General features: G+C 50.1%; 1 long non-coding RNA gene across 1 annotated transcript in view, besides 2 other annotated features; it reads left to right on the forward strand.

Annotated features, from left to right (window-relative positions):
• The window catches only part of LINC01768 (long intergenic non-protein coding RNA 1768), a 77,840-nt gene that overhangs the window by 60,164 nt on the left and 4,394 nt on the right, over positions 1-13,282 (forward strand). The window lies entirely within an intron of this gene.
• Positions 920-1,344: a transcriptional cis regulatory region, noted in NCBI's record as "candidate enhancer chr1.7635 targeted for multiplex CRISPR interference". NCBI's record gives its function as "positively regulates SARS1 gene expression in K562 cells {active_cell/tissue: K562}" and the evidence as "EXISTENCE:mutant phenotype evidence [ECO:0000015][PMID:30612741]".
• Positions 2,030-2,324: an enhancer, noted in NCBI's record as "tiled region #12342; K562 Activating DNase matched - State 5:Enh". NCBI's record gives its function as "activates a minimal TATA promoter and a strong SV40 promoter by Sharpr-MPRA in K562 cells {active_cell/tissue: K562}" and the evidence as "EXISTENCE:reporter gene assay evidence [ECO:0000049][PMID:27701403]".

The raw sequence follows: 13,282 nt of genomic DNA on the forward strand, positions 1-13,282 counted from the left end.
TTAAACCAGTGACAGCCATGATAAAATATGAATTTAAATAAGACCATTGGGCTGTTTGTGGCAATCACGTACTAGAGACCAGCAAGCTTGCTGTGGCAGGTAAAAAATGGGGTGGCCTTGACTAGGATGATGGCTGTTGCTGGAGAGAAGAGGTCAGATTTTAGGGATATTTTAGAGGATTTGGGAGCTAAAGAAGAACAGAGGAGTCAAAGTCAACCTACCGTTTTTCATTTGTACAACGCACTGGATGGTTGAGTTTGTTTCCTGGGAAGTCAGCTGTGGATATACTGAGTGGGGCTGCTGTTGGGGGGGTCTCGAATAAAGGTGTCAAGTCACGCAGGGTTGCCAGATCAAATACGGATGCCCAGTTACGTCTGAATTTTAGATAAATGACAAATAATGTTTTAGTATAAATCTGTCCTATTGCATTGGGCATATTCATACTAAAAAAGCATCCATTGTTTATCTGAAATTAAATTTAACTGGGCATCCTGTGTTTTTATTCGCTAAATCTGTCAACCCTACAGGCAATTGAACCCATGGATCTGAAGATCAGGAGGGGTCTAGAAGAGAGGTGTCCTCCATAGTTTCCAGCCTAGAGCAGCACTTGAAGCATTAGGAGTGCAGGGGGTGGCTTAGGGGCAATAAACAGAGGAGACAGGTCTAGGGCAGTCACAGTAAGTCCAATATTTAGGGTTTGGGTAGAGGAGGACAAACAGGAAAGTGTAATGGAAGCCAAGGGTAGGAGAAAGAAGAAGTGACCCTCAGTGGAAAAATCAAACATGCGAGGGCTAAAACTGTTCACTGAATGTATGGAGAAGGTCATTAGTAGTTTGGGTGCAGTTTATTTATATTTTGTGAGGGAGGAAAAATCTATCACAGTGAGTTGAGGCGTAAATGGAAAGTGTTTGAGATGTTTTCCTAGGAAGAAGAGGGTAATCATTGGAGGAAGAGATAGAATCAAGGGAGGGCCCGATTTCACATTAGAGACTTGAATGTGTTTAAATGATGGGGAGCTGAGAGTAAAGAGGGAGAAGCTGAAGATAAAGGAAAAGAGGGGATAGGCAAGGTCCCTGAGATGGCAGCAAGGGTTGGGATCCAGAAGCTAAGAGGGCAAATTAGATAGAAGAGTGTATGCCTTCCATTAAACCAGGAGGCAAAGTGGAGAGGACCTGTGCAGCCGGTAGATAAGAGAAGCTGCAGGATGGCTGAAGACTCACTGCCTCAAGGCTTCTGTCTTTTTTTTTTTTTTGAGATGGAGTCTCCCTCTGTCACCCAGGCTGGAGTGCAGTGGCGCGATCTTGGCTGACTACAACCTCCACCTCCTGGGTTCAAGTGATTCTCCTGCCTCAGCCTCCCCAAGTAGCTGGGACTACAGCCGTCTGCCGCCACCCCAAGATAATTTTTTTTTTGTATTTTTAGTAGAGACAAGGTTTCACCATATTGGTCAGGCTGGTCTTGAACTCTTGACCTCAGGTGATCCACCTGCCTCAGCCTCCCAAAGTGCTGGGATTACAGGCATGAGCCACCACACCTGGCTGGCTTCTGTCTTATCTTTGAAAGGAGTAGGAGATAACATCTGCTGAGAATTCAGATGGAAGTAAGTATGTGGAAAGTTTGAGGACAGGGATACGGTCTACCAGGGTGGTTTTTCCAGGACTAGAATATGTATGGCAGGCAGCACTGAGGACCCAGCCAAGCTTGGTGGTCACAGTGTTGGAGGACCTGGCCAGCTTGCTACTGTGGCCTTCTCCTGCAGAATCACCTGTCATGCCAGTGCAGTTCAGAGGAAAAGGACAGCTGCTTCATCCACCGGTGGAATTTTGGCAGGCGGTGCAACAAGGGGGAATTTATGTTATAGGAGAGAATGAATAAAATTCTGAGCTGTGCATCTCAGGTGTGAGAAAAGAGAATGCAGGAAAAAGGGGGCTGCTGGATTGAAAGAAAACAGAGGGATCCATGGACGGGGTACCTGATGGGGTCAGAGGTCAAGAGTAGACAAAGTGATTGAGTGGAGAAGCTGAGAGTATAGAGAAGGCCATCAAGATTAGTGATTTCAGAGGTGAGGGAGTTCTGGGTGGTGACTAAGTCTAGGGAGTGGTGATGGGAGTGGGTGGCCAAGTCACAGTGGGACAGAAGGTTGTCAGAGATGGGGAAAGCCAGCAGCTCAGAGGCTAGGGTGTGGGCTGCCACTCTCACGGACATAAAGTCATCCCGATGATGACAGGGGCTCCCTGTACACACCACACCTTACCTCTCCTGGCAACACCCCACTGTGTCTCAACCATGTGGGTTGCTATGGTGGTGGGTGTATGTGGGATGGTGGTAGTTAAAACTGGGAGGGCTCTGTGAGATGTTTCCATAATAGGAAGAGATTTTGTCACTTGTGTAAGCTTTGAACAAAATGGGTTCCTCAAAGTCCTCACATAGCTTGTTATCAAGATGAATCAGGATTGAGAAAATCTAAGATTCGTCCTCTACTCCCATGCTGATGGCAGCCCAGAATGGAACGCCTCCTCCCCTTCCCCCACTCCTGGAGCCTGCTCCTCTCTCATGTCCTCCCAGCCACTCTGTGTAGATAATTCAGTCTCACTCTCATGTCACCAACTCTGCCTCTTTCTATTTATTCCCACTGTACCTGTTCTGATTCATGTTATTGCCACCAGTCTCCTAACATTACATTGCTTCTTAACTGATTTATCTGCTCCACCCTTTCCCTCCAACTTTCCCCAGCTCCCCCTTCCAGGGGAGAGAGGACAAAGAGAGGACACTCCTAGAAATAAACTCTCCAAAATACACCCTTCCCACAGCCGTCAGCAGAGCCTCTGCAAAATGCGGGTCAGTTTAGATGACTCCTGTCATGGAAACTTCTCAGAGGGTCTCTGTGTCTACAGAACAAAGACGACACTCCTTGCTTAGCACGATACCAAGACTCCTCCTCGCCTGACCACCTACATCTCCTCCCTCCATGTCCTATGCGCCAGTCCCTGTGGGCTTTTGTATGTTAGCTGTAACAAAGCATGTACTTTCCTGACTCATGCTCTCCTCCTGTTTCTCTGGCTGGCAAGAGCCTGTGCATCCCATAGGGCTTAGCCGCAATCACACCTTCTCTTTGGTGCCTTTTTTATCCTCATAGTTCAAAATTAATCAGCCCTTTCTCTACAACAAAGCCAGCATGTTGTCAAATCTCTATTTAGCATATATTGTCAGCCTTGTATTGCAGTCAACTGTTTAGAAATCGTTCATGTAACACTTATCTATAAATATGTTTAGTTGTGTGAGACGCTGAGGACACAAAGACAGAAGGCCAGTCCCTGCCTTCAGAGTGTTCATGTTTTGGTGATGGGGGAATGGGAGTTTCTGCTAGGCTGCCAGGCAATGGCACAGCTTAGTGGTATATGCTGTGATGCTTGAAGGACGTCTACCCAGACGAGGGTCAGGGAAGACTTCCTGTGGGAAGATGACATCTCAGCTGAGGCTGGAGGGAGGAGCTGCCTGGCTTTTCAGGTAATTCCACCATGTAGTAGAATTACCAGTTTATATGTCTCTCTCCCCAGCTACAATCTAAATTTCTGAAGTTCAGAGAAATGTTTTACTTATCGCTGAGTCCCCACACCTCATTCCAGAGGCTGGCACATCTTAAACCACAGTGATGATTGTTAGGATGGGCCTCTAGACTCCTGGAAGGCAGGAGCTCTGTCTTCTCCATTCTTTTATTCTTCTCTCTTCCAGTGCCTTGTAGCGAAGCCTTGGCAGATTGGGTGTTTTCTGAAATGAGTTACAAGAGAGCTTCCCGGAAGTAGCAGGTGCTCTGGGGACACATGAGCAAACAGTTGGCCTGGGATGTGTCTCAGACTAGACAAGTGCACACAACTCATGTGACTGCTGTCTAGACCCCAGATGCCAGCAAGCTGATGCTCATCCCAGCTGGGCTCCCTGAGGCTGGCTGACCGAACAAGACCTCCCAGCTTTGGCCTGTTGTCCATCATTCTTTCCTACACGCTGCCAGGAAACGGACAGGGAAGGGGCACTTCCAGCAAGCAGAGACAGGGCCAAGAACTCCAGGGACCAGGCTGGAGTGACTTACCGGGACAGCGTGGGGGCACACTGAGATGCACCAGCAGAATGCCTCCTGCCCGGGCTAGAGATTGGACCCCAGCATGGTTTTGGAGGCTGTAGATTCAGCAGTTGTGGTGTCACGAGTCACTCATCTCAAATAAAGGACAGGGGGAACTCAGTGTGAGCCCCAAACAAGAAGCTCACAGGCAGCTTCTGAGCCCTGGGGAGAAATTGTTTGCTCCTGGGCTGGGTGGTAAGGGGGGGTTCTCCAGTGGACCCTCCTTCCTCCACCTACTTGCCACCAATTTGTATTGGGGAGGGGTTGGTATGCAGAGGGTGAAGACAGTATCATAAAAGCAGGAAAGTGTCCTGAATTCCAGGGCTGAGGAAACTCCCCCTGGGGCTCTATAGTTCCTACCAGGAAGTGGGGAATTCCCAGCAGCTTGCAGTGGGTGGTGGGGAGGTGGAGAGGGAGAAGTTTCCAGAGGGTCAGGGCTTCCTTAGGAAGGGCCCTCCCATCCTGAGGCAAATCTCTGCTCATCCCCTGAAGGTAGAAGTGGGCTTTGGGATCCAAGGTGCCCTTTAGCTTGGGATGTAGGGCATGTAATTCTTACTCAAAGGACAGCCTCTCTCCTCAGGCCTCGGCAAGGAGCCAAGACAGACGCCCTCTCCTCCAGCAGCCGGCTCCTTGGGGCTCCTCCTCCTCCTCTCCTCCCAGCGCTCCTCGCTGGACTTCTTTATTCCCCACATTGTCTTCTCATCTCCCTACTGAAACTAGGAGAAGGTGGAGGGAGGGCCTAGATTGTTCCTCTCTGAAAGGGTCCCCCAGTTGGGTAAGAAGAGCTGGTCTGTGGTCACGGCCTACAATCCAGTAAGCTCGGGCTCTGCCTGTGGCCAAGTTACTCAGCTACTCCAAGTCCAGGCTTGCTCCTCTGTAAAATGGGGATGCCCCTTTGCAAAGCTGTTGTGCTGAGCCATTGCATGTCAGACTCCTTGCGAATTCGCTTTAGAGATTGTTGTTCATTAGTCGAACATCCATTCAGCACATTTATTGTGTGCTCAGTGTGTGCTATGTGCTGTTCTGTGGGCTGTTCTGTGGGCTAAGAATGTAGAGTGAACAAAGCAGACAAAACCCCTGTCCTCCTGGAGCTCACACTTTAGTGGGGAAGATGAACAAGAAGGAAGCCAGCAAATACACAAACATGTAATACATAATAAATATAATTGCCTTCCACGCAAAAAATAAGGAAAAGTGACAAAGGGTGGAGAGTTCTATCTTAGGATGCTCAGCAAGAGCCTCTCTGAGGAGGTGACATTTGAACAGAGGCTTGAATGTGGTGAAGGGGAGGGCCAGGTGACAATATCCAGGAGGGCCTTCCAGGAAGAGTGAGCAGCACCAGCCAGTGCTCTGAGGCAGGGAGCAGCTTGCTTAGGGACCAGCAAGGAGTCGAGGGGTAGTAGTGGAGTGAGCAGGACACAGTTCCGGGGAGAAGAAGTCAGAGGACAAGGTAAGGCCAGGTCCCCTAGGGCCTTGTTTGTCACTTTAGGGAGTTTGCATTTTATTCTAAGTAATGGTTTTGAACAAGGGAGTGACATGATCTGATTTATGCTTTTAAAATATTACTCTGCATGGAGAATTTGCTGGCAAAGCGGGGCCAGCAGAGCAGTTAAAGAGGCTGTGGTCATTATTCACCACAGCGCTCCCCGTCTTCCATCTCTCCTCAGCCAAACTCCTCTTTTCCTCCCCACTGTGCCTGGAGTCTGTCTGCACACTCTGGAAGCTGCAGTGGCCTACCCCAGGGGGCTTTGGCAGCCTCCAGCTCTCTGAGGCTTGCAATGTTCTTGGTCCGCTCCTCCTGTCAGGAATCTCCACTCCCTGGTACCTCGGTGCTGCACCACACAACCTAAAGCACCCATCTGAGGCACAAAGCGCAGCACTTGTATAAGGTCCACTCTCTGACCATCCCTTCTTTCCTCCTCTGAGGGTTCCTCTCCTCTACCTGAGGCAGAGGTGTTGCAGACCTCGGGTTCTCTTCCAGGCCCCTTCTCTTCCCACTCTGACTGAAGTTCTGCTGTCACCCCCACCATCCCGTTCCCTGCCACAAGTGCAGCTATGGTGCTTCCTGGTGAGTCAGATGCTCCCGGTTGCATCCCATCACCAGTGTCTACTAGATGTCCACACTGGGCATGCCTCAGGTACCTCCAAAGTGAAGGCAAAGCAGGCAGACTAAACCCCTCCCCTGAGGGAGGTCTCATTCTAGTGATGGAGATAGAGAAACACATGCACAACCTACAACATATCAGTCGGGGAGTGATAAATGCCAAGATGAAAATTAAAGCAAGGGAAGCACATTGAGAGTGATGGCGGTCAGGGTCCACTCTAGACAGAAACTTGGATTATTTGGATGCACAAGCCATGTGAGTGTCAGGGGACACAGTGTTTCAGGCAGAGGAAAGAGCAAGTGCAATGGCCCCAGGTGGGAAATGAGATGTAAAGAAGGCGAATGTGGCTGGAGGCTAAGGGGGAACACGACTCACGCCACCATGACCTTGGCCCAGACTGTATAAACCGTTCCCATGTAAAGTCTCCCCACCTGCAGCTCACCCTCCTCCAATCTGTGGTCCCCACTCCAGTCACTCTGGACTTTCCAAGATGCAAATTTGCACACTGTGAACCTCTGCTATAAACCATTCACTGGCTTCTCCTGGCTCTTACGATAAAGACCAAACTGTGAGGGACCACTGGGCCACTCCCCGCCTCTTCTCACCACCCACCTCACACCTTCTACTCCAAATTTTATGACCAGCTTTCAGTTCCTAGAATGCACTGACTCTTGACTGAGGTCTTCCTACTTTCTGGTTCCTCTGGTCCACACATTTTTGCTGCCAGCTTCCAGCCCTTATTCCCTTACCCACCTACCTCCTACTCACTCCCCAGGAAATCAGCAGGGGTGTGACCTCCACCAGCCACCTTCTGTGATCTCGAGGTGGGTGAGGTGTCCCTCCCAGGTGCTACATTGCAAGTGCCTGAGTATGTCTCTGTACCTTCTGCAAGCCTGACAGGCCCATGAGTGCTTGTCTAGCTCATTGGAGGTGGAAACTTCAGCTCATAGCACTGGACTCGGCACACAGAAGGTGCTCATTAAATATTTTTTGGATAGATGGAAGGGTGATGTGGGATTGGAAATGGGAATGGTGCATCTGGAAAGGAAAAGGCATTCCAAGGAGGGGGATGATGGAGAAGGGCATGGCGAAGGCAGAAGTGTGGAGACGGCTGTGTGTGCTGTGTCACATGCAGGAGCAAAAGAGGCCAGCCTGGTGGAGCAGAAGGCATGAAGGAGCAGGGGGTGAGGAGGTCGAAGAGGAGGTTGGGGCCAAGTGAGGGCATTTGGACTTCATTCTGGAGGCAACAAAGAGCCTCTGAAGATTATAATCAAGATGTGACATGGTCACAGCTGTGTTTAAGGACATCAATCTGGTGTGACCTGCAGGTGAAACTGCAGGACAGGGAGGAGTTAGGGGAGGGATTTGGAGGCCACCTCCACTTTTGGGGGTCAGCAGGCAGACTATTCTGAGCCCCTTCTTCAGCAGGAAGACCCTGGTCTAGCCACAAGCCTCGGTGACCCTGGACAGTGAGCCTCCCCTCCTGGTGTTCCTCCTCCCCTCGGCAGAGGCAGATTGCCCTTCCTGGTGACTCACCCCAGAAGGGTCAGCTCTAAGCAGAAAGTCATTGTTGACAGGAAGAGGGGTCAGACTTTCCCTTTTCCGGCCAGCTTCCTGGGTACCAAAATAGCAACGCGGCACAACAAAGAGTTGGGGCGGTGGAGGCCTCCCAAATGGGCTGGAGGACACACCGACCCCACCCCATGCTGCCCACCCGCCTGTGGGATCCACCATGCCACATGACAGCCAGCCTGACAGCACCAGTCGCTGGTGAGTCTGGTAGCCCTGGAAACCCTCTCACAGCCAGCCGAGATGTGAGGGACACAGAGAGAGGAGGTGCCATTTCAGACCCCTATGCCTGGCACGTTGGGGTGAGAAGGACACACCAGTCAGAGCTGGTTCTGAGGCTCGCATCCGGAGGGAGATCCTGGAACCAGGGCTGAGGCTCGCATCCTGAGGGACATGCTGGAACCAGGGGGCATCCGAGTTGGGGACACAGTCTGGGAAGGTGTCTAAAGGAAGTGAGAATTGAAGGAGGGACAGAGCGCTACCCAGAAGGGCATAACTAGAGGCTGGGACCAGGTCAGGAAACATGTCCCTCAGGTGTAGAAGCTGCAAGTGAGAAACCAACGTGGTAGGAACCTCAGCAGGCTGGCTCCAGCTCCAGAAGCTGTTGGAGTTGAGGATTTGTTCTCTGTAGAGGAGCAACATCACCTGTGTAGTCTGGTTCCTAGGCTAGGCCATCCTCTAGAATTCTGTGTGAGCCAGAATGTTCAACTAATAAGAGAAGGCTGCACATTGTGGGTGGAGAGCGGGAAAGAGAGGGGGCTTGCAGCATCTGCAGGGGCCAGAAACTACATGCACAGAGAAGCTTTCTCAATCGGAAAAGAGCTTAGGAAACATTGAACTGGAGAACAACGGAAGCAAACCTGTGTCCGGGAGTGGCTCCAGTGAAACCCACCTCTTTCTCTGTGTATGGAATTCCAAACACCCGTTGTACAGGAGGAAGCAGCTACAGATCGTCCTACTCACCAGCTGGGTGGCACCACCGGCTTTAAGTAATGGGTAAACTGGCTCAAGCAAGCCTGGGACTCAGAGACAGATGTGCGAAGCAGAGATGTTGCCATGCCTAGGCTGAGGGCTTTCAGCCAATCGGTGAGGGGAATGGAGGAGAAAGGAGAGAGGGGTGTTGGGTTGAGGGCCGGGATGTTAAGAAAAGGATTGTATCCTGGGAGATGGGCTAAGGATCAAGAGGATGAGGAGAAACACCCCCTCCCACAGCCTCTGCAGCACCCAGAGTTGCAAGATCCAAAGAGATGTTCCTTTCTGTCCTCTCTTTGCTGTCCCCCTCCCCTCCTGGCCCTCCCAGCATTGCAGACCCTTGCCTCTGGTTTGCAGCTGGGCTAAGGGCAAAAGCAGAAGCAAGAGCCTGAGCTGCTTTTTCCTGCCTGGATTTCTGTTCTTGCAGTTGCCACAGAGCTGGCTCCTTCTCATCATGCTAGTCTTGGCTTAAACGTTACATCCTCCAAGAGGCCTTTGCTGGCCACCGCAGTGACGTATTCCACCCTGACATCACTATCACAGTCCCTGCTTTAGTTTTAAGACAGCACTTACCACGAACTGGTATTTTCTCTCGTTTCCTTGTTTATTTTTGTCTCTGCCATCTAGAATGGAAGCTCCCCGAGAGCAGGAACCTTGTCTGTGTTGTTCATGGCTATATCCCCAGCACTCAGAACAGGGCCTGGCACAGAGTAGGTGCTCAAATATTTAGTTGATTCATGATGAATAATAATTGCTAACATTGGTTGAGTGTTACTACATGACAAGTACTTATTTCACATATTAACTCATGGGCCAGTGAGCTATAGGCCTCTGGGCAAATCCAGCTCCCTGCTTGTTTTTATAAATACATTTTATTGGAACACATGCCTATCATGTACATATTGTCTATGGCCGCTTTCATGATACAATGGCAGAGTGGAGTAGTTGTGACAGAGCCTGAGGCCTCCTAGAAGTGCTAGAAGCTTTTCCTTACCCCTCCAACACTCTGCCACTCACACTTACCACACCGAGCCAGTCTCCCCTCTCCACTTTGCTTTTGCTGCTCCCTCTGCCTGGGACCCCCTTCCCTGCCCCACCCTTCTCTCTTTTCCTTGGCTCACCTGTCATCGGCCTGAAAGCTGCACCTGATCCTGGACCTTCTCTTGGAGGCTCCCAGAGCAACCTGGGCTTCTTTCTCCGCAGCACTAACTATGGGATGCCATCACTGGCTGCTTACCAGGCTCACTCACCCCTTCCAGCTCTGCTGGACTGTGAGCTCATTGACAGTAGACTATCTTCTACTTTGGAAATCCCAGCACTTAACCTTGAGCCAGGCACATAGTAAATATTAAGTAAAGATTTATCAGCCGGGCACAGTGGCTCACACCTGTAATCCCAGCATTTTGGGAGGTCGAGTTGGGTGGATCACTTGAGGTCAGGAGTTCAAGACCAGCCTGGCCAAAATGGTGAAACCCCATCTCTACTAAAAATACAAAAATTAGCCGGGCATGATGGTGGGCGCCTGTAGTCCCAGCTACCTGGGAGGCTGAGGTGGGAGAATCACTTGAACCTGGGAGGCGGAGGTTGCAGTGAGCCAAGATCGTGCCACTATGCTCCAGCCTGGGTGACAGAGCAAGAGATCAAGACTTTGTCTTAAAAAAAAAAAAGATTTATCCCGTGGATGGCTATCCGATTTTTGTCAGACATGGGATGAATAATGGCAGATTCTAAAAATATTTACTATCTGGCCCTTTACAGAAAAGATCTGTAGACCCCTGTAGTAACTCAGTTAATCCTCATCAGTACAATTAAGGTCAGTGCTGTTACTATCTCCATTTTACAGATAAGGCAACTGAAGCACAGAGGCACAGAAGGCTTGTCCAAGGTTGCATAGCTAGTAAGTACAGAGGCTGGAGTTGAATCCAGGCAGTCTTGCTCCAGCCCATGTTACTAATCATTCCCTTTCTAAGAATGTTACCTGCTTCATTCCCTTTCTAAGAATGATCAGGAGGTGGTGGGTGGGGTGGGAGGGATAGGCTGGCCAACGTCATCATGGGAGCAGCACAGCAGGAAGGAGAGCTGGAAGTCCAGCAGAGCCCTGATGACCCAGGGCTATTGTTTTTGAGGCTTGGCCTGATTCTGGGACCCAGAGCTCTCAAATTCTGTTTCCTAGAGCCGGAGTCCTACCCATAAACATACATAAACACCCCCAACCTTCCCAATCTGAAGATTGAGTGTAGAATATTCCCCACTTAGGACTTGAGGTCTCAACATTTTCCTTAAACTTTGACCCCTGCTATGAGTTGTCTACATGAGAATTGTCTTAGTCTGTTTTCTGCTGCTATAACAGAATACTCGAGACTGGGTAATTTATAAAGAAAATAAATTTATTTCCCCAGTTCTGGAAGCAGGGAAGTCCAAGGGCATGGCCCCAGCATCTGCATGGCATCTGGTGAGGGCCTTCTTGCTGCGTTATAACAGAGTAGAAGGGCAAGCAAGCATGTGAGACACAGAGAGAGAAGCATCAGGGGCCAGACTCAATGGATAACAGCACACTTTCATGATAACATTAATCCATCCATGAGGACTTCCCATCATGGCCCAATCACTTTTTAGTAGGCCCCACCTCCCAGCATGGTCATATTGGGGATTAAGTTTCCAACACATGAACTTTTGGGGGATGTGTTAAAACCATAGCAAGAACAAGGATCCAGTAGTCTCTGATTTAACACAATTTAGGTTAATTTAAGGTTGAATACACTGTTATTTAAAAAGATGACGGGTGAGGTGGCTCATGCCTGTAAACCCAGCGCTTTGGGAGTCCGAGGCAGGTGGATCACCTGAGGTCAGGAGTTCAAGACCAGCCTGGCCAACATTGTGAAACCCCATCTCTACTAAAGGTACAAAAATTAGCTGGGCGTGGTGGCTAAAGCCTGTAGTCCCAGCAATTCAGGAGGCTGAGGCAGGAGAATTGCTTGAACCCAAGAGGCGGAGGTTGCAGTGAGCTGAGATCGTGCCACTGCATGCGAAACTCCATCTCAAAAAAAAGAAATTTTTTTTTTGTAGTTCCACAAAAGAATGATCTGGCTTCTATGGGCTTCACAGTTTAAACATGTTCAAGAACTTCCCATTCTTCTGATGTTGAAATTTGGATGCAGTCCAACTCAGAGGTTAAAACACACACACACACACACACACACACACACACACACACACGACAAGAAGTAAATCCTCTAGAATCAGAAGAAAAATTGCAGCCTTGAAAATCACAGCTTTACTCATGAGGCCGCCTAGAAGTGCTAGAAGCTTCTTCTTACTTATAAGAAATGAAAAAAAAAAAAGGGGGCAGGTGTCGAGGAGGATGGGAGGATGGGACAAGCTGCTGGAAGGTGTAGTGAGCGCTGAACAGGTCAGCCCCATCCTGGTGCAGAGGCCTGGTCTGAGACGCTCCGCCGTGGAGGCATGTCCTGGAAAGTGTATGCTGGTGAGGAGCAGTGGAAAGGCTTCCCTACTCCTAATCTTCTGGACTTTGGAGGCTGCTCTAAAGTTTACCAAGACTTCACATTTGCCATCACATTTGCTCATGACAAGGCCCTGAGGGAGGAGTTACTTCTATCCCCATCAGAGAGGTTCTACAGTTTGCCAAAAGTCACACAATAAGGGGCATGACATGATGGTCCTCCTCTTGAATAGATTCCTTGCTTATGGAGCAATCTCCAGATGATTCACTGGGGAGCCTGAAAGAGGGACAGGGTCATTTGGGTGGGGACTGAGGTATTTCAATTCGCCTGTCTCACTCTCCACTGTGCTCCGGTACCAAGACCTAGATCCTCACTCAGTATTTGTGCAGGGTATTGAAACTCCATGTCCCTACTCTAGGCAGGTACAGGTGTGTAGGGCAGGCACAGACGGAAGCTGCAAATAAGCTGGCACAGGGAAAAGGGTTAGGAGAGGGATGTAAAGTGCCACTGAGATTCTGAGGAAGATGAGACCATGTGGGTCAGGGAAACAGAACTCTCGTTGGTGAAGAGAGCAGCCGAGAGGGCCTTGAGGGGGTTTATTTCCACAGGTGGGGATGGAGGCATAGTGACACCTTCTGTGGCTTTGCCTCTGCCAGCCTTGCCAGACTTCTTCCCCTCCAACCCTCTGCCACTCACACTCACCACACCAAGCCAGACTCCCCTCCCCACTTTGCCTTTGCTGCTCCCTCTGCCTGGGATCCCCTTCCCTGCCCCTCCCTTCTGTCCTTGTCTTGGCTCACCTGTCATCATCCCTGAAAACTGAGCCTGACCCTGGACTTTCTCCTTAAGGCTCCCAGAGCAACCTGGGCTTCCTCCCCGATAGCACTAACTATGGGGTGCTGTCACTGCCTGCTTCCAGCCCCACCCCTACAGCCCACTGGACTGTGAGCTCACTGACAGTAGACTGTCTTCTACTTTGGAAATCCCAGCACGTAACCTTAAGCCAGGCACACAGAAAACATTCAATAAAGATTTATCCAGGGCATGGCTATTGAATT

The sequence above is a fragment of the Homo sapiens genome, chromosome 1 (assembly GCF_000001405.40).
Source record: "Homo sapiens chromosome 1, GRCh38.p14 Primary Assembly".
Classification (NCBI taxonomy): Eukaryota; Metazoa; Chordata; class Mammalia; order Primates; family Hominidae; genus Homo; species Homo sapiens.